The following is a 21,021-nucleotide window of genomic DNA, read 5'->3' on the forward strand; positions in this document are numbered from 1 at the left end:
AAGGAGGAGGACCCAGAACCTAGGAGGCCTCGGCCACCCTCCTGGAGCGGAGGTTGGGGCAGCCTGGCCAGCCGTCCCCACACACGGGCCCCTGGGTTCAGCGTTGGAGAAGGCATCAGTGCCAGACCTGTGGCTATGCGTGCTCACAGGGGCACCAGGCTGCCGGCTGGACCTGGCTTGGCCACTTGCATCCCTGGGGAGGCCTGGCCGTCCTTGGCGCCAGCCCCTCCTCCCTCTTCCTGAGCCTCCCACCTCTCTGGCCTGTGTTAGGGGCTTCTTTCTCCTCTTCTGAGTCTAATTCTGTCTTTCTCGCGTGGCTCAGGTATTCCGCCACCTTCCCCCAACACAGCCTGCATGGTCTCCCTCTCCTGGCTTACAGGGTCCGCCTCGGCCCTCCCGTGTTCTGGAGAATTCCTCTCTCCCCGTGTGTCGCGCTTCCGGGGCTGCCGGTCACCCTGGCTGCTCCTGCTGCCCAGATCCCCTGGGGACATCCCAGGGACGGGGGCCACCCAGCCTCAGCCCAGGTCTGCCTGTGCCCATGCAGATCTGCAGTAAAGATGTTCTAGAAAGTGCTTCCTCCCGACTCATGTACCGCGCCCTCGATCTTCTCTGGAGTTGAGGCCGGGCCCTGGAACAGGCTCCAGCTCCTTGTTCTCCCAGCTGGTGATGCAGGAACATCTTTGCGCATAAATCTGCGTTCTGGATGATTTCCCTCAGGAGAGCTTCCCAGAAGTGGGATTACCAGGTTAGAGGGCAGGAACGTTGCTCAGGCACTCGGCGGACGCTGCCAAATGGCTCAGCCGGCGCTCCCAGCCACCTGCCTCTCAGAGCCCCATGCATTTCCAGCACCGCTGACGTGTGCCGGCCTCGCTTCACCCCTCGGTCCCCGGGGGACAGCAGAGGAGGCCCAGGCCCGGGAGGGGAGCTGGCTGCCCCAGAGGAGCCCTCAGGCGGCCAGCTATAGGGATGAGGTGAGAGCCATGGGCATCTGCTTCCTTGGGATGGTTCTTAGAGTGGGCTGGAGGTGACCTGGGGTTTGGTGAGTGTATGGGGTTGAACAGTGTCCCCTCAAAAGTTCATGTTCATCCAGAACCTGTGAGTGAGCTCATTTGGAAATAGGGATTTTACAGATGGACTTAAGTCATGATGAGGTCATTATGGAATAGGGTGGGCCCTAAATCCAGTGACTGGTGTCCTTATAAAGAAGACAAAGGCTGGGCGTGGTGGCCCACTCCTGTAATCCCTGTACTTTGGGAGACCAAGGCGGGCGGATCATGAGGTCAGGAGTTTGAGACCAGCCTGGCCAACATGGTGAAACCCTGTCTTTACTAAAAATACAAAAATTAGCCAGGTGTGATGGTGGGTGCCTGTAATCCCAGCTACTTGGGAGGCCGAGGCAGGAGAATTGCTTGAACCCAGGAGGTGGAGGTTGCAGCGAGCCGAGATCGTGCCACTGCATTCCAGCCTAGGTAACAGAGAAAGACTCCGTCTTGGGGAAAAAAAAAAAAAAAAAAAAAAAGAAGGCAAAACAGGCCAGGCACGGTGGCCTAGGCCTTTAATCCTAGCACTTTGGAAGGCCGAGGTGGGAGGATCACTTGAGGCCAGGAGTCCAGGTCTAGCCTGGGCAACATAGCCAGACCCCATCTCAGCAAAAAATTAGAAAATAATTGGCCAGGCTTGGTGGTGTGCTCCTGTAGTCCCAACTACTCAGGAGGCTGCAGCAGGAGAATCACTTGAGCCCAGGAGTTCAAGGCTGCCATGAGCTATGATTGTGCTGCTGCACTCCAGCCTGGGTGACAGAGTGAGACCCTGTCTCAAACAAACAAGGCAAAACAGAGGCACAGGGACAGAAAGGGAAAAGGACAAGGTCAGGCACGGTGGTTCACGCGTGTAATCCGAGCACTTTGGTAGGCCGAGGCAGGCAGGTCACGAGGTCAGGAGATCGAGACCATCCTGGCTAACACAGTGAAACCCTATCTCTACTAAAAATACAAAAAATTAGTTGGGTATGGTGGCACGCATCAGTAGTCCCAGCTATGTGGGAGGCTGAGGCAGGAGAATCGCTTAAACCTGGGAGGTGGAGGTTGCAGTGAGCCGAGATCACGCCACTGCACTCCAGCCTGGGTGACAGAGCAAGACTCTGTCTCAAAAAAAAAAAAAAAAAGAAGAAGAAAGGGAAAAGGACACAAGCAGACAGAAGCAAAGAATGAGGCGATCCGTCTACAAGCCAAGAAGTGCTAAGGATGGTCAGCAGCCGCAACAGCTGGGAGAGAGGCCACCTTGCTTTTATTTTATTTTTATTTTTTGAGATGGAGTCTCACTATGTTGCCCAGGCTGAAGTGCAGTGGCACAATCTTGGCTCACTGCCACCTCTGCCTCCCAGGTTCAGGAAGTTCTCCTGCCTCAGCCTCCTGAGTAGCTGGGATTACAGGCGCCCATCACCATGCCCAGATAATTTTCTTTTGTATTTTTAGTAGAGATGGGGTTTCACCATGTTGGCCAGGCTGATCTCGAACTCATGACCTCAGGTGATCCACCCACCTCAGCCTCCCAAAGCGCTGGGATTACAGGCGTGAGCCACCGTGCCCGGCCTCCACCTTACTTTCAGAGCCTCCAGAGCTGTGCGGGAAACATCTCTGTTGTGTCAGCCACCTGGTTTGTGCTTATTTGTTACAGCAGCCTCAGGAGACTGATATCATGCCCAAGAGTTGGGGATGGACCAAGGGGGACTCTGGGGTCAGGACAAGTGACCCCTCCCCTGGTGTCCTGGCCCTCCCGGTGAGGTTGCACAGAGGTTGGGAGAATGTCCCGTCCCGGCCCATCTCTGCCTCTCCACCCCCTTATGTTACTAGGTGAAGAATTGTACATTAGCCTCATTTGAAACTTTATTTCCAGGCCTCTTCAGCTTCAATCGCTGCCCAGGATGCATTGTGGGTAAGCAAAACCAGGACAATGGGCTTGGGCTTAAAAGTATCAGAGATCCCGATTTCATTCATTCCTGACACCAAGTCACTTGAAAAAGCAGTCGTAACATCACAGAGCAGCTCCGGGGAAGTTCTCCGTGCCTTATCCTCTTTTTTTAATTTTTTTGGAGATGGAGTTTCCCTCTTGTGGCCCAGGCTGGGGTGCAATAGTGCGATCTTGGCTCAGTAACCTCTGCCTCCTGGTTTCAAGTGACTCTCCCGCCTCAGCCTCCTGAGTAGCTGGGATTACAGGCATGTGCCACGACACCTAACTAATTTTGTATTTTTAGTAGAGACGGAGTTTCATCATGTTGGCCAGGCTGGTCTAGAACTCCTGACCTCAAGTGATCTGCCCACCTTGACTTCCCAAAGACCTCCCAAAGTTCTGGGATTACAGGTGTGAGCCACCTCACCTGGCCTTTTTTTTTTTTTTTGAGACAGAGTCTTGCTCTGTCGCCCAGGCTGGAGTGCAGTAGCACGATCTCAGCTCACTGCATCCTCTACCTCCCGAGTTCAAGTGATTCTCCTGCCTCAGCCTCCCAAGTACCTGGCATTACAGGTGCCTGCCATCATGTCTGGCTAATTCTTGTATTTTTAGTAGAGACAGGGTTCCACCATGTTGGCCAGGCTGGTCTCGAACTCCTGACCTCAGGTGATCCACCTCCCTTGGCCTCCCAAAGTGCTGGGATTACAGGCGTGAGCCACCGCACCTGCCCGCCTTGTTTTCTTTAGAAGTTGGTTCAGGCTGGCCGGGCGCGGTGGCTCACGCCTGTAATCCCAGCACTTTGGGAGGCCGAGGTGGGCGGATCACGAGGTCAGGAGATCGAGACCATCCTGGCTAACGTGGTAAAACCCTGTCTCTACTAAAAATACAAAAAAATTAGCCGGGCGTGGCGGCGGGCACCTGTAGTCCCAGCTACTCAGGGGGCTGAGGTGGGAGAATGGCGTGAACCCGAGAGGCGGAGCTTGCAGTGAGCTGAGATCGCGCCACTGCACTCTAGCCTGGGCAACAGAGCGAGACTCCGTCTCAAAAAAAAAAAAAGAAAAAAAAAAAGAAGTTGGTTCAGGCTGGGTGTGGTGGCTCATGTCTGTAATCCTAGCACTGTGGGAGGCCGAGTCAGGAGGATCATTGGAGCTCCGGAGTTTGAGACCAGCCTGGGCAACATAGGGAGACCGCGTCTCTACTAAAAATAAATTGGCTAAGCGTGTTGGCCTGCCGCTGTAGTCCCAGCTACTGGGGAAGTTGAGGTGACAGGATTGCTTGAGCCTGGAAGGTTGAGGCTGCAGTGAGCCATGATTACACCACTGCACTCCAGTCTGGGTGACACAGCAAGACCCCATCTTTAAAAGAATAATAATAATAATAATAAGTTGGTTCAGTTTCATTTGCTTGGAAGCCCCTTCAGTTCCCAGCCCCGCAGCCCTGTGGCCTCCCCCAGAGGTGGTGTCCACACTCCTTATCCTCGTTCTTGGCCCTGCTGGAGCCTGTGGCAGATTCCTGGGGTTGCCTGTGAAACCAGGAGCTGTGACTCCTGCCTGGGCCTCAGTGATTATGGTGGGGTCACGCACTGGGTGCCAGGGTCTGCCACACCCCACCCAGGGGCCACTGCCCAGCAGCAAGTGCACTTAGCCATGCAGCTCCCCACACAGATCGAGGTGGGATGGTGCTGGGTGCCAGCCATCCTGTGCTTATGTCCTGTCCAAGGCCGGCCGTGGCTTCTGATGGCTTACCCTGGGAAGGTGGCCTGCACCTTCAGCTGGCCCTGCTGGTGGCGTTGGTGGGGATGGGCTCTCCTGAGGGCCTCAGCAGCCCTTACGAGGTAAGGGCTTTTTGCCGTGTGTAGATCCCACGAAGCACATCACCAGCTCCTCACTCAGGGTCCCTCCTGCCTCCCCTGGATCTGCTGGGGCATGTCCCAGGCAGGGGGCGCCTGGTGAACACCGAGCCCCCCTGCTTCACACGCTACCTGGTGCAGCCCCTGGACTTTGGGGTGGAGTCGGGGTCACATTCACAGGGCCTTCCGGGTAGGCCTGTCTTCAGGATGGGCCCTTCTCCCAGTGTACTGGGGCCCCCCTACGCCCTACAGCCCTGCCGTGGAGTCACCGGCTGGGTGTTCGCCGCTCCTTGTGCTGTCCTGGTTTGGGCTTCATCTGCACCCTCCCCGTCCCTCTGCAGTGACTACCATGAGAGCTGGCCTGGCCTGGTCTCTGCTCCCTGTGTCCAGCCTCCACTCCCACCCCTGCAGTTCCTGCTGCCCGACCCGCTGCCTACCTCATCCTTCATCCCGGACGGTTCCTGTAACCACCCCTCCCAACTCCCTAGTCTCAGGATCCCTGCCCCCTCTGGGCCCTTATTGACCCTACTCTTCAGCCAGTGGTGTCCCCCTTGGTCCCCCTACTCCTGGGGACCAGCCCAGAAGCCACCAGTGGCCCCCCTGGCTGTCTCCTCCTGGTGTGCCCCGAGTCGTGGCCTTAGTTGAGTCCCATGTCCAGAGGGAGCTTGGAGAGGGAAGGGCTTGTCCCAGGCCCTCCACAGTTCCGGGGCTGAGTATCCTTCCCTCCCTCCCTCCTTCCCTCCTTCCCTCCTTCCCTTTTTTAAGAGACAGTGTCTCGCTGTCACCCAGGTTGGAGTGCAGTGAGTGGTACAATCTTGGCTCACAGCACCCTCCACCTCCTGGACTCAAACAGTACTGCCTCTGCCTCCCGTGTTGCTGGGACTACAGGTGTGTGCCAATGTGCTCAGCCTGGGCTAATTTTCTTAGGCTGCCATAGCAAAGCACCATGAATCAGGTGGCTTAAGACAATAGAAATGTCTTGTCTCTCATCTCTGAAGGCCAGAAGCCTAAGATCAAGGAGTCAGCGTGGCTGGTTCCTCCTGAGGCCATGAGGGAGAGCCAGTCTCAGGCCCCTTTCCAGCTCCTGGTGGCCCAGCGATCCTCGGCAGGCTCTTGACTTGTAGACGCGGCACCCCGATCTCTGCCTTTATTGCCGCTTGGCCCACTTTCCTCAGTGTCTCTGTCCTCCCCTCTCATGGGGGCACCAGTCATTGGATGCAGGGACCTCCTTAATTCCAGGATGATCTCATTTCAAGATCCCGCACTAATTACATCTGCAGAAACTCTCTCTTTTCAAATAAGGTCACGTTCCGAGGTTTTGGTGGACATGAGTTTCAGGGGAGCTGTGAGTCCATCTAACACAGGACCCGATTCATCCTGGGCTGCCTGGCCTTGAACTCTGGGCTGCTCCTGCTACCTTGTGCTGCCTCCAGCTGGACAGCAGGCCCCCCGCTAGCCCCCTTGCGTCCCCAGCCCGTGAACCCCACCGAGCAGGCACGTTGCTTATCTTCGGGAGACTCATTCCAGAAACACCGCCCACAGCTTCCTGCTCGTCACACCTCGGCTGCCTGGCTGCCCCGGGGGGTGGGGGGAAGGCACTGCTGGTCACCTTTGTACCACAGACACTTGGCCCTTTAGGGCTAGCGCACACTGGAGCCCGACCCAGGAACCCCCTCTCCTCACCCACCCTGCACCCCGGGGGCTCCTGCAGGGAGAGTCCTGGGCTCCGTGGGCTTCACCTGGGTTTGGCTGCCTGTGGTTGCCCCCTGATGACTTGGGATGTGGGGCGATTCTGGGCTGCCCAGTTTCAGATACACCTGTCTATGGACAGTTCCTGTAATTCCTGGGGGTGATGCTGGGCCCCCAGGGGCAGGGCATGTTGGCCTGCAGAAAGACACAGGCAGGCGGCTTATTTGTGAGCAGGTGCCACAGACTGAATTCTGTCTCCCACAAACTCACAAGTTGAAGCCTTCACCCCCAGCGAGGCTGTATTTGGAGGTGGGGCTGTTAGGAGGTAGTTAAGGTTAAATCAAGCCATAAAGGGGGGGTCCCGATCTCTAGGATTGGAGGCCTTGTAAGAAGAAGAAGAGAGATCTCTAAGCACACACAGCTGGGAGAGGCCATTCGAGGACTCAGAAGGTTGGCCCCCCAGGGCCAGGAAAGGCGCTGTACCTGGAACCTGGTCTGGGTACTGCTGGGCCCTGATCTTGGACTTCCAGCCTCCAGAAGGAAGGCATTCTGTCCAGAGGAAGACATTTCTGTCATTTAAGCTGCTTGGTCTTTGGTATTTTATCATGGCAGCCTGGGCTGCTAAGACAGAGGATTATTTTGGATGCAGGGATTGGGGGTCTGGCAGGGCTTCCTGGGGAGGTAGTGCTTGAACTGAGTCCCAGATGATGAATGGGAACTGTTGTGGAAGGTTCCAGACAAGGGCTTCGTGGGTGCAGAGCCCAGCAGCAAAAGGCAGAGGAGGGCCTTGAGTGCCACCAGTGGGGAGTTGGGGTTTGCCTCTGGGGGAAGGAAAAGAGAGCTTTAAACCTGGGGATACTCCAGAAGCCTTTCAGAATAACTACAGGAGGCCGGGTGTGGTGGCTCACACCTGTAATTCCAGCACTTTGGGAGGCCAGGCAGGAGGATCACTTGAGGCCAGGAGTTCAAGACCAGCCTGGGCAACATAGGAAGACCCCATCTCTGAAAATAAAAAACTTAGTTGAGCGTGGTGGCGGGCACCTATAGTCCCAACTACTCGGGAGGCTGAGGCAGGAGGATCATTTGAATCCAGAAGATGGAGGCTGCAGTGAGCTGTGTTCACTCCACTGCACTCCAGCCTGGGCAATAGGGCAAGACCTGTCTCTTAAAAAAAAAAAAAATGATGACAAGAGACAGCCCTCCCGGCTGGGGAAAGAGCCTGGATTGTAACTGAGGCCCCTCCTGTCTTCCCTTAGTGCCTCAATTTACCAGCTTGCAAAATAAGGGTACAGCTGTGTCTCCCTGCTCTTAGGACTGCTGCAAGGCCCCACACAGGGTGGGCGCTTGGCCAGCTGGCAGGGCTGGAGTCTCTTTTGTGGGGAGGGAGGCCCCTGTGAGCCAGCTGTGTGCGCTCAGCCCCCGAGGGACCCTTCACACGTCCCAGCCGCCACCTACAAGAGAAACAAAACGTGCTCACGGCAGACCCTCTGTTCAGCTGGGTCTGGAAATTTGGCAGCAGCAACCATGCCTGATAAAAGGCATTCCGAGGCAGGCCTGGTGTTTGTATATGTGGTTCTGTATTTACATGAGTGGAGGGAGCAAGGAGGCAGCAGGGGAGTGTCTCCAGGGCCCAGGAGACTCAGCCTGGAATCCACGTGCCCCTGATGCTCTCATCATCATTCCCTATCGCTTCCCAAGCTCGGCAGATGTTTACTGAGGAACTCTGGTGGACCAGCCATGCAGCGAGGGGTCAGCTCAGCTCTTCTCATCAGGTCCTCAGTAAACGTGGGGACCCACGGCATGGAGGGACTGAGGCAAAAACAAAGTTGACAGCCAGAATGAACTCAGAATGGGCCAAAGACCTAAATGCAAGAGCTAGAAGTGTAAAACTCCTGTAAGAAAACAGAGGGGCTGGCTGGGCGCGGTGGCTCCTGCCTGTAATCCCAGCACTTTGGGAGGCCAAGGATCACTTGAGGTCAAGAGTTCAAGACCAGCCTGGCCAACATGGTGAAACCCCATCTCTACTAAAAATACAAAAATTCGCCGGGCATGGTGGCGCGTGCCTGTAATCCCAGCTACTTGGGAGGCTGAGAATCACTTGACCCCGGCAGGTGGAGGTTGCAGTGAGTCAAGATCGCGCCACTCCACTGCAGCCTGGGTGACAAGAGTGAGACTCCGTCTCAAAAAAAAAAAGTCCAGAACAGATAAATCCACAGAGACAGGAAACGGATTAGTGGCTGCCAGGGGCTGGGGGAGGGGAATGGGGAGTGACTGCTGATGGGGATGGGGTTTCTTTATGGAGTGATTGAAATGTTCTAGAACCAGACAGAGGTGATGGTTGACAGTGTACTAAATGCCTCTGAATCATTCACTTTCAAACAAGATCATGGTAAATTTTTTATGTGGATTTTATTGCAGCTTTTTTGAAAGTATATTTTTCATGTAAAAGATTAAAAAAAAATAGAAAGAAACAGGCCACAGAGAGAAACCAATGGTGGGCCGGGCACAGTGGCTTACACCTGTCATCCCAGCACTTTGGGGGCCAAGGCAGGAGGATTGCTTGAGGCCAGCCTGGACAACATGGGGGACCCTGTCTCTACAGAAAGAAAAAAAAAAAAAAGGCCATGGTGGTGCACACCACTACTCCCAGCTACTTAGGAGGCTGAGATGGGAGGATTGTTTGAGCCCAGGAGGCTGCAGTGAGCCCTGATCGTGCCGCTGTACTCCAGCCTGGGCCACAGACAAAGACCCTGTCGCAAATAAAAGAAAGAAAGAAAACAGATGCGGGACGTCAGTCTCAGGCTGTGGCCTTGCTGCTCCAAGCTGTGTTCCCACACACACAGTTTCCAGAGGTGGGCAGTGGCAACACCCTGGGGAGGGTCCGTCAGGGCTGGCAGCTCCTGCTACACAGCAGGTGATCCCCTCAGTCACTAGCCTCTCCTGTTCCCCTGGGACCCAGTGCCTGGAGGTGGGCAGCAGCTCCCACATTCCCTGTGTACCCTGCGGCCATTACCCAGCCCCGGCCTCTGGGAGAATGAATCGGTCAGGGGATGCTGGGCATGCATCCCTTACCCCTATGGCGAGGCGTCCGGGCAGAAAATCCTCCCCCACAACACGCACAGGTGATGGCGACGGGCTTCTGAGCAAAATGCGTGAGATCTGGGGCTCTTTGCTGGGCCCTTGGAGGAGCACAGGAGGAGGCTTGAGGGTCAGACATGGGAAGTTCTATGTCCACAAGTCAGGGGCAGAAGGCTTTGCTGCAGCCTCCGACATCACTTGGAGCTTTGGGGGTACCTGTCAGAGACTTGGATGCCCCAGGGCTGGGCAGAGGCCTGAGGGCTCTTGTCCCTGTCTCCCTTCTCACACTGGCATCAGCCCCTCCTGGCATTGGGGATGCCATCCCTGCTGGTGCATCTGGTTAAAAGCTGGCCTGGAGGGTGTTCACCTCCTTTGTTCTGCTTGATCCAGGGCAGTGACAAGGGGACCCCCCGGGGAGCGGGGGATCCTGAGCATGGCACTGGATCGAGGCGCACGCCAGCTCCTGCAGGCCTCGTTTTGAAGCCGAGGTCTCAACTGCAGGGAGCAGATGGCGTGTCCCCTGGGAGTGCTGGGGTGGGGGCGGTGACAGGGCTGTGGGGCCGGCTCTGGGCAGCATGGGCAGGTGCGGCCTCACAGTAGAGGCCTGGAGCCCTTAGGGGAAGAGTCCTGCTCTGGCTGTTGATGGTAAGTGGCTCCAGAAGCTTCCGTTCCCTCGATGACCGTATTTCACCCCTGGTGGCCCATCTCAGACCCTATGAGCTCCCAGTCCTGGGCCTTGGCACCTGCTGTTCCTCCTCCCCTGCAAGGCTCCCCAGTGCTGTGTCTCTGCCAGTCCACGGCCGCACAGTGGCTCAGGCTGAAGCTCCCACAGTCACCACTTGCCTGGAGATCTAATGCTTGCTGCCCGCTCTGGGCTGTGGGCTCGTGTGAGCAGTGCCCATCTGGCTGGCTGGCTGCCATGTCCACTGAACCTAGAACCATGCCCAGTGCTGGGCAGACTCTTGCCTTGAGTCTGGCAGGGGAGGTGGGGACACTGCCGTGGTGGGGCGGGAGCTGGGCTGGCTGAGCGGGTGGGTGCCTGAGCCTTGGTTGGTTTTCAGCTGTTGACCCAGCTGGGCTTCACGCCAGCAGCAGGGGTTCCAGCCAGCGTGGACATGGGAGGATGAAGGCTCTTGCCCTGTGGGGGTGTCCTTCAAGTCGGCACACATCCCCGCCTGCGGCTGCTGGGACGCTTGGAGATCCCTCCAAGGCCCAGGCCTCCTGCCTTCATTCCAGGGTCCCTCTGCCTTCATCAGCCTTCCCAGAACTCCATCTTGGGAAGCCCCGAGTTATGGGGCTGCAGGGTCAAGGGGTGCGAATCCCCGGGGTCCTGGTCAGCTCCCAGGATCCAGGATCCAGGTACATCCTGTGCATTCGCTGGGCTGGAGAAAGTGTTCGCTCCCCACCTTCCTCTTGTAGGGCCATGCCTCAGGCTGAGGTGCCTGCTGCCTCTGCTCTCAGGCAGTCTCTGTGCTTTCTTGAGCCTCAGTTTCCCCATCTGGACTGTCAGGGGAGGGGCTGTGCAGAGGGCGGCCCCTTGGAGGAGGCTCAGTGCTGGGCAGCGGTGGGCCCAGGGGGAAGAGCCTTCTGGTACAGGCAGCACCCGTGCAAAGGCCCGGAGGTAGCGACTGGTGGCTCCGGGAGGAAGCATGTGAGCTGGAGCCTATGGTCATGGAGAGTGGAGACTAGACTTTGAAGCCTAGAGGTGGAGAGGGGGGGAAACTGAGGCCTGACTGGCACAGACAGCACTTCCCTCCCTGGCCCCCCCACAGGGAGGCCCTGGGTCTGCCACGGCTTTGCAGGGCCGAGCTCAGCCATCAGCCCGCCTGCTTCCCTCAATCTCATTAGAAGGTTGGCCGGTTGCCATGGCAGTTGCTTCTGGGCCTGACCAAGGCTGGCCGGTCTGCAGAGCGAGCCCCAGGAAGGGCTGGCAGGTGGAGGTGTCGCTGTGCCCTGTGCAGGATTCCTGGGAGACTGAGTGCTGCCCGAACATCTCTCCACATCCTGGAGAAGTAGCCACAGGCGCATTATACTGGGGCCACCCGGCCTCCATTCCCCTACCTAGGGGCTCCTGCTCCATCCAGCCCTGTGGACACTTCCTGGGCGGGGCAGGGGCGTAGACTTAGCAGGAGTGTGGACGTGGGCACAGACAGAGGCAGAGGTGGGCGTTCTCCAGGGCGAGGGTCCTGTCAGCAAGGGGTGGGGGTCAGCGGAGGCCTGAGAAGCCACCTTTACGAAGGGCTCTATAGAGGGGTCAGGTGGGGGGGTAGGACTTTGTGTGAGGGGGTCCCGGCGCAGGCTGTATCAGGAGCGGGGGTCCCTGCGGTCAGCTTGGTAGTGTCAGAGCTTCTGGGTCCACATCTGCCTCCCACGTGCCTCCACTGATGCTGGCAAGCTCTCATCTGAGATCGGGTGGCTTCAGTAACACTTGTCCCAGGAGGGGCCATGTGACTTCAGTCATGCTGGTCATGCAGGGGTTAAGTTTCAGGCATGTGGGGCCTCAGTTTTCCCATCTGGAGAGTGGCATGTACTGGTACACCCTCAAAAGCCCTGTAGAGGGGTGAATCATGTCCCACAAAAAGATACGTCCACACTCTCACTCCTGGAACCTGGGAAGGTGACCTTACAGTTGACTCTTGAATCAATGGTTTTGAGCCACGCATGTCTACTCATACGTGGATTCTCTCCCGCCTCTGTCATGCCTGAGACAGCAAGACCAAGCTGCCGCCCTCCTGCTGCTGCTCCTCCTCCTCCTCCTCCTCCTCCTCCCTTTTCCTCCTCCTCAGCCAGCTCTACGTGAAGGACGGTGAGGACAAAGACCTTTGGGATAATCCCCTTCCACTTCACAAATAGCAAACATTTTCTCTTCCTTAATGATTTTCTTAGTATCATTTTCTTTTCTTTAGCTTTATTGTAAGAATACAGTATGTAATACGTATAACATACCAAATCTGTCTTAATTGACTCATATTATCAGTGAGGCTTCCAGTCAACAGTAGGCTATTAGTTAAGTGTTGGAGGAGTCAGAAGTTATACTGGAGTGGGGCACGGTGGCTCATGCCTCTAATCCCAGCACTTTGGGAAGCTGAGGTGGGAGGACTGCTTGAAGCCAGGAGTTGGAGACCAGCTGGTCAACATAGTGAGACTCCATCTCTACAAAAGTTAAAAATTAGCCAGGCATGGTGGTTTGTGCCTGTGGCCCCAGATACTCAGGAGGCCAAAGTGGGAGGATCACCTGATCCTGGGAAGCCAAGGCTGCAGTGAGGTGTGATTGTGCCACTGCCCTCCAGCCTGGGTGACAGAGTGAGAGCCTGTCTCAAAATAAATAAATGAATAAATAAATAGAAGTAAAAACTATAAAAAGAAAAAAAATTATACTTGGATTTTTGGCCGCATGAGGGTCAGCTCCCCAATCCCCGTGTTGTCTCAGGGTCAACTGTAGTTGGAAATAGGGCCTCCAGATGAGACCGTCCTGGATTAGGGTGGGCCTTTCTCTTTAATTGTAAGAGAAAGGAGAGCTGAGCCAGGCCCAGTGGCTCACTCCTGTAATCCCAGCACTTTGGGAGGCTGAGGCAGGCGGATCACCTGAGGTCAGGGGTCTGAGACCAGCCTGGCCAACATGGCGAAACCCCATCTCTACTAAAAATACAAAAATTGTCTGAGTGTGGTGGCACGCCTGTAATTCCAGCTACTCAGGAGGCTGAGGCAGGAGAATCGCTTGAACCCAGGAGGTAGAGGTTGCAGTGAGCCGAGATCGCGCCATTACACTCCAGCTTGGGCAACAAGAGGGAGACTCCGTCTCAAAACAACAACAACAACAACAACAAAGCCAGAGGCTGGTGCGATTGTGACTTGGGGGGCTGCTTCTTGAGCAGGGGTGTTGGGGATGCCCCTCTAAGGAGGGGCCGTCAGGCCTTGCATGAGGGGTCAGTGGGGAAAGGACAAGCTGGGGGCACTTTGGGGCTTGGGCGGCTGGAGGGAGTGAGGCTGGGGAGGCTGGAGGCAAAGCCCACCCACCCTCAGCAGGGCCCTCCAAATCGCCAGTGGGGTCCACTCTCACAGCCAGGCAGCCAGGACCAGATGCCCATCTATCTGGCCCACAGGCCATGAGTGAGGGGCGCCCTGGGAGCTGCAGTTTTCCCGACTCCTACCGGACGCCTTCTCCAGGCCTCAGCTGTTTCACCTGTCGCCCCGCTTGTTGACAGCCATGGGGATGGTGTGGAGATGGGACACCTGAGTCCCAGGTCAGCCCCGAGCCTCTGTGTAGGGCAGGCTGGAGCTGCTGTGGCATCCCAGGAGCTCCCTCCAGAGCTAGCCGCTGGCTCCAAGTGAGGGTTACACCTTGAGGTGGCTTGTGTTGCCTGGGCCAGCTGAGGAAGGGGGTGGCCAAGCTGCCGCCTGAGGCCTCCTGGGTTTTAATCTTAAGTGCTTGTACAGCCTCCAGACGGGCCTGTCACCTGGCTTGTGAAGTCAGCTGTGGAGGAGGTGCAGCAGCGTCCATTCATTCATTCATTCACCCCCTCACATCTTTGTTCACTTGTGGATTCCGCCGGCAGGCGCTGCTGAGCAGCGGGTCCTGGGCTGGCTGCTGGGTTCACGGAGCTCGTCCTCAGGGTCTCAGTGGTTTGGGGAGCACAGCATGGTGGGGGGCAGGGGACTGTGATGTGGCGATGAGAAAAGCTGTGATGTTGCCTGCAGTGCAGTGACATCTGGCCGTTCTTCCAGCTGAGGCCAGAGGTCTGTGGGGGCAGAGCCCAAGCTGGCGTCCCACCACCCTGAGACCCCAGAGAAAGGAGGACCCTGCTCCCAGGGGTTCCAGCCAGGCTGGGGAGGAAAGTCAGCTCCTGCAGACTCAGGAGTCTCCGTGCCCACCCTCTGGCTAGAAAATTCACTGGAAGGACTCCCCAGAAGCCGTTTTGTTCATGCTTATGGTTTATTGCAGCGAAAGGACACATTAAAATTACCCAAGGGAGGCTGGGTGTGGTGGCTCACACCTGTAACCCCAGCATTTTCGGAGGCTGAGGCGGGCGAATCTCTTGAGGTCAGGGGTTCAAGACCAGCCTGGCCAACGTGGTGAAACTCCGTCTCTACTAAAAATACAAAAATTAGCTGGGTGTGGTGTTGCATACCTGTAATCCCAGCTACTCAGGAAGCTGAGGTGAGAGAATCGCTTGAACCCTGGAAGTGGAGGTTGCAGTAAGCCGAGATAGTGCCACTGCACTCCAGCCTGGATGACAGAGCTAGACTCCATCTTAAAAAAAAAAAAAATCACCCAAGGGAAGAGGCAGATGGGCAGGGTCCAGGAGAAACCAGGCCAGAACCTCCAGTCAGCCCCTCATGTGAACAGTGCGTAATTCTCCCAGCATGGAGCACTGCCAGCCGCAGAAGCTCCCCTGGCCTGCATGTCCAGGGTCTGTACTGGGGGCTGGTCCTGTAGACGTGGCTGACCACCCTCATGGCCAACCTGTCTCTAGTCCCTCCAGATGTCAAGCTGATGTGCCCAAACTCCCACCCTAAAACCACAGTGTGAGCAGACTCTGCCATAGCCCAAGGCCTCAGGCACACAATGACACTCTTATCAGGCAGGATATTCTCCTGCAGGTCACCTCCCAGGAGCTGGGGACAAAGGTCAGACCTCTCTTGGGGCCAGCTTAACCCTTTTGCTGTACAACTCCTCATGCAAAACCAAGAATGAGCATGGGGTTCCCCAAAAGAAGAGCAGAGGCCAGGCGCGGTGACTCATTCCTGTAATCCCAACACTTTGGGAGGCCGAGGCGGGTGGATCACTTGAGGTCAGGAGTTTGAGACCAGCCTGAGCAACATGGTGAAAAACTCTGTCTCTACTAGAAATACAAAAAAAAAAATTAGCCAGGCATGGTGCCTGTAGTCTCAGCTAGTTCGGAGGCTGAGGCAGGAGAATCACTTGAGCCTGGGAGATGGAGGTTGTAGTGAGCCAAGATGGCGCCACTGCACTCCAGCCTGGGCAACAGAGCGAGACTCCATCTCAAAAAAACAAACAAACAACAACAACAACAAAAAAGAAAAGCAGAGTCCCCACTCAGTGTCCACTCCTGGCCCAGGGGCTGTGCTCCGAAGCCTGAGTGCCTCCAGCAAAGTGGACAGGAGCTGGGAATTGTGGGCAAGGTTTGGACAGAGATGGGGCTTGGGAACCATGAGAGTTCTGTGTGTCCCCAGTCCTGTAGATTGTCCCCGCATCCCAGGTTTCCTGTGGCCCGGGGACATAGTGTAAACAAAGCTGCTTCAGGGAGTTCTTGCCCCTGATGTCTGGCCTCCTGGGAGCTGGCAGCTCAGCCCGTGTAGAAAGCACATGTGGCATGAGTACCTGCTGTGTCACACGTCGTGTGTCCCTCTCACACCCGCCTGTAGCACTCACTCTAGGTCGGGGACACAGGTCCAGGAGGGGTCACAGCCTTTAGGGCCATATAGTCAGTGAGAGGTGAATGTAGCACAGGTTTCTGTCATGCTACTTGGACACAGAAGAGGGTGGAGAAAGTCACGGGAGGCCACAGGCGACCTATGCCCAGGTAGGTGTGGGGTGGGAGCTGTAGGACCCCCACCCTACACCCCCTCCCTCTGCCACAGCCCGGAGCTGGCCTGTTTCATCTGGTGTGACTGCTGGGAGGGACACTGTGGATGTTCATTGTGTATGTGTCTGGCCAGCGGCCACCAAGGGCTCCCAGCACAGACCCTGGGCCTCACCCCCAGGCCCTCGAGAGCCACCCAATAACACACAAGGTTAATCTTACCATCGGCTCCACTTCAGCTCACAGGAAACAGCTGTTTACCTGGGCGAGGTGCTCAGCCGGGCAGGTGGCCAGTTCCCGGGCTTTACTTCCGCCTCCGGTGTCCAGGGCCCCCTAGGAAGCTGGGGCGGTGGGGCAGCCAGCTCTCCACGCACTGCCAGGAGCTGTTTGTAAGGAACGAGTCGGCCTTGTTGTGTACACAGTGTCCACCCTAGCAACCGCCCCTGCCGGGCCAGAGTGGACAACCACCCCTCCTTCCTGCCTGCCCAGCCCCACCTCTCCTCACGGTGGCTGCCTCCCCCAGTTGCATGGCAGGCATCATGGACCAGCATCCCCAAGGGCCTCGGGTCGTGCCACATGGGTCAGGGGCCTCTGTTACTGGCAAATCAGCATCAGCCACATGAAGGGGAGGAGGCCAGCTTCCAGCCCTGTTCAGAGTCAGCGTGACCCATCAGGGAGCTCCTGGCCCCTGGTTCTGTGCCCCGATGCCATCAGGGAGTGGGAAGCAGGGATGCAGCTGAGATGAAGGCGCTCAGCTGGGCCCAGCCCCCAAGAGGCTGGGAAGGACCATGAGGAAGGAACATGGGGCTCAGGACCCTCTAGAACTCAAGCTGGGTCTGGGGGACTGACTTGGCTGCCCTGGCTCTGTGTGGGCTGCCGTCGGGATCACAAGTCCCACGCTTTGAAGGCCATCACCACGCTTCTGAGACAGCTTCCTCCGATTCAGGCCAGTGGGAAGCCGCCTGGCCTGCCAAGTCACAGCCTCTGGCCGTGATAAGAAATGGCTCCCCTGGGCTGGTGAGGGGCCTCCTTGGCAGGCTGCAGGCCCGCCAGTGCCTCTCTTGCCCATTCACTGACTGACCGAATCAGCAGCAAGGCAGCCAGCTCCCCAGGTTCACGGTCATGGGTTTCTGCATGGTGCATTGCCCCGCCTGGGGAGCCGTCCCGGCACCTCGGGTTTCTGATTCTGCCATTTTTGGTGGAGGGACACCTGGTTTCCTTAAGCATCTGGGTCATGAGGTCCTGCAAACTTCTGCACTTAGGCTGTCAATCCCACCACTTGGGTCTTTTTGTGCCTTTGGGGCTGGCACTCTGAGGTGAGCCTGGGAGGTGACCCCTCCCGCAGCTGCTGGCTTCTCTCTCGCAGCTCCAGCTCCAGAAATCCCAGTACCTGCAACTGGGCCCCAGCCGAGGCCAGTACTATGGCGGGTCCCTGCCCAACGTGAACCAGATCGGGAGTGGCACCATGGACCTGCCCTTCCAGGTGAGTGCCCCGCCCCCTGGCCCTGCCCCATTGTGGGGAGCTTCCCCCAGCCTCCCACTGGGGGCCAGACATTGAGGACAGCTGGGGTTATCAGACAGTTGGCGGAGCCCACCCAACCACTGCCTTCTCCTTGTCTGCCCTGGGAACCAGAGGAAGCAGAGTGGCCCCACCAGGGTGCCCCCGCAGCCCATTCCCCATCAGCAGACCCCGAGGCGAGCCCTCCATCTGGCCTCCAGCATTTCGGCAGCCGCTACACCTGTTGGCCGGCTGTGCGGCAGCGGGAACCGCTCGGGGCCACTGGGGCTTGGCTCTGTCCTGCCTCACTAATCCGCAAGCCCAGCAATTCTCAGAAGGAGGCCCGGCGGCCTGACCCCACTTGTCTGCAAACGTTTCTTGGCAGAGGCCCACACAGCGCGGCTCCCGCAGGCCGCACAGCCGCCGTGCACAGCCTTATCGTAAACAGGAGATAAGGCCCACAGCGGCCCTCTTCCCTGTCCCTGGTCTGCGGGTGGAGATGGGGATGGGGTGGGGCCGAGGGAGCTGGCCTATGAATCAGGGCCACCCCCAGGACGGTGTCTGGGCTCTGCATGGACAGGTCCCCCTGGGGGGGGGTCACACCTACTCTGTGGCTGAGAAAACCACCTCGGACACAGCCATGGCCACTGACAGGCCAGATGGAGCCGGGGCCCCTCCCAAGTCACCCACCAGCTCCACCGCCACCTGCACCGCCGCTGGACAGGGCAGGGATCCTTGGGCTGGCCACCACGGTGCGCCTCCTCCGGCATACAGAGTGCGGGCCATCACTGATGCTGGGCGTGTTCTTTGTCACAGCCCTTCCTGGCCAGGTTTTCTCCCCTCCTGCCCTTCTCTCCCTTTCCTGTTTCTCCTGTCCCCTCTTCCCTGGAGGAGAGTCTCTCTCTGGGCACCTTGCAAGCTCAGCCTGAGTGGGGCTGAGGGGCACAGGACCCTGTTGGGTGTCTGTCGCCCGAGGCCCACAGCCCGGGGGGAGGTCCCACGCATCCCGCCTTTGGGGCCAGGCAAGGCAGCAGCGTCTCAAAGTCTCGGTTCTTTGCATTTTCAGCCCAGCGGATTTCTGGGGGAGGCCCTGGCAGCGGCTCCTGTCTCTCTGGTAAATGAGCCCCCAGGCTGAGGCCGCGGCGTCCCCGGCGCCAGCCTGCAAGACCCCGACCCGTGTGCGGGCGCTGGGGATCCCTGAGCTCCCCAAGCGGCCGCCCCTGCGGCTCCCAGGGAGGTGGAGGTGTCCCGTCCGCCAAATGGAAATGGATCCACTCCGCACCCCCATCTCGGGAAGTGCGTATGGTCGCGTCGAGAGGCCCTGGGGACTCTTGGGGTCCATCTGGGGCAGATGCCATAGCCGCGCATCCCCATCTGGGGTCCAGCAGAGCAGAATCCCAGCATGTGCCCCAAAGCTGCATGGTCCGTCCCTATATACACACACACACAAACACACACACACACACACACATACACACACGTGTGCACGCATCTCCCAAACCAGGCCAGCAGGCAGGACGTGGCGAGCCCGGGTGTGGCCAGCCCCCGCTTCATTCTGCCTCTGACTTGGCTTTGGCTGCCTCAGTTTCCCTCTGGGCTTCAAGGCATCTCTGGAAGGAGATGAATTGCCCCTACCCTGAGGAGCCTGTGCACTGGACAGCACAGTTCCCACCCTCATCGTCACAGGCCCACGTCTCCCATGCCCACAGCCTTTTGGGGGCAAGAGCCACGGAAAGACCCAAACCAGCAGAGTTCATGCTGGATCGAAGAAAGACTTGGGGGTCCCCAGGGCTGGGGACAGTAGTCAGCCCTGAACTCTGGCCGAGGCTGGGACAAAGCAGCAATCCTAGCCATGGACAGGCTTCTGGAGAGGAGACTCACTTTAGTATCAGAGTCTCATTTTGCCCGGCTGCCCAGAGAAGGCATAAGGGCTCAGGGGCCAGATGGCCGGACTGGGGGATTGGCTGCATCCAAAGCTGGCAGAGCCTGCTGATCTCACCCCAGTCAGATGGCAAGTGGGCAACACAGGGTCAGGGCGGGCTCCTGGCAGCCCCGGGGGCATGAGGCCGGGCATGTAGCAGGGCCTGGGGAGGGCCAGCCTGGTGCCAGCCCCAGGTGCTGGGAGGAAGCCCCATCCAGCCAAGCAGTGGGCCATGGCTCCGGAAGGCGCCTGTACTTGGCTCTGGTGGTGCCTGGAGTGCCTGGAGGAGGCTGCGGGGGAGGGTGTGTGGGGGCCGCGTCTCAATCAAGAGCAGCCCTGGGCTCCACAAGGAAGCCTCCCAGGAACTCGCGCTTGGCCAGGTGGGCCCCGAAACAGTCCTGGGCTGGAAGCCCCTGGGCTGTCTCTTGGCAGGCCCCTCCAGGGATGACGTAGGTGGGGGTAGGAGGCCGTCCAGGCCCGGAGAGAGAGGGCGGAGGCCTGTCTGCACCTGGTGAGACTGGGGAGGAGGGCTGCCTAGGCCGGCTACATCCCTGGCACCCGGCGGGCGCTGGCCCCGAGCTTGTGCCGCTCTGCCTGGCCTGTGCATGCCAGCTGCACTGCACGCCCCTGCCACCCTGGCTCCCGGGACCCCAGCTCACACCCCCTCCCTACCCCCCAGTGCTTGGAGAGCCAGGGAGCTGGGGCTGAAGGAAGAAGCCCATCCCAGGCTGTGGAGCGATGGCCGAGGGTGCTCCAGAGTGGGGGGCCCTGCGATCAGACTCTGGGGCCAGCGCTGGGGCCACAGCTGGTAACCATTGTTTGGATTTCTCTCTCTCTGTTTCCATCTCCTCCTCCCCCAGACCCCCTTCCAATCCTCGGGCCTGGACACCAGCCGGACCACCCGGCACCATGGGCTGGTGGACAGGGTGTACCGGGAGCGTGGCCGGCTCGGCTCCCCACACCGCCGGCCCCTGTCAGTGGACAAACACGGACGGCAGATATCCTTTTCACCAGAGGATGAGGGTGGGGGCCAGGCCCTGTCGGTGCCGGCAGGACCCCAAGTTTACCCAGCAGGTTCTGACAGGGCTGCCTGCTTCCAGCTCTGGGGACAGAATCAGGGCAGCACCATCTGGGAGGCTTGATCTCAGGGCAGCCTGGGGGACTTCCTGGAGGAGGCTGTGCCACAAGCCCTGGAGCCTTTGGCCAGACTTGGGGGCTCAAGGGGCACAGGGAACAGCTCTCAAGGCAGGAGTTGAGGAAGGTTATACCTGACCACAGAGGGCTTAGACACCTGGCAGGGCAGTGGGGCCAGGAAGGCCGTGAGCAGGGAGCCCACAGTCAGGGCTGTGAGCTGATGAGGCCTCTCCTACGCGCTGCACGGAGGGCAGCCCAGCCAAGGCAATGGGGCTAAGGGGGTCTGTGTGAGACCCGGACGCATCCAAGGGAGGCTCCATCTCTGTAAGACAGGAGTAAAATTCGCCTCTGCGACTCG

General features: G+C 58.3%; 1 protein-coding gene across 2 annotated transcripts in view; it reads left to right on the forward strand.

Annotated features, from left to right (window-relative positions):
* CRTC1 (CREB regulated transcription coactivator 1) overlaps positions 1–21,021 on the forward strand; it is a 98,654-nt gene that overhangs the window by 41,754 nt on the left and 35,879 nt on the right. Inside the window, exons 2-4 of one of the 2 annotated variants that reach the window (NM_001098482.2) lie at positions 17,477–17,593; positions 18,675–18,722; positions 20,390–20,527. In NM_001098482.2, coding sequence (NP_001091952.1) covers positions 17,477–17,593; positions 18,675–18,722; positions 20,390–20,527 — 303 coding nt within the window. The remainder of the gene's footprint in view (positions 1–17,476; positions 17,594–18,674; positions 18,723–20,389; positions 20,528–21,021) is intronic. The other variant, NM_015321.3, reaches the window with a different exon arrangement.

This window comes from Homo sapiens, chromosome 19 (assembly GCF_000001405.40).
Source record: "Homo sapiens chromosome 19, GRCh38.p14 Primary Assembly".
Taxonomy (NCBI): domain Eukaryota; kingdom Metazoa; phylum Chordata; class Mammalia; order Primates; family Hominidae; genus Homo; species Homo sapiens.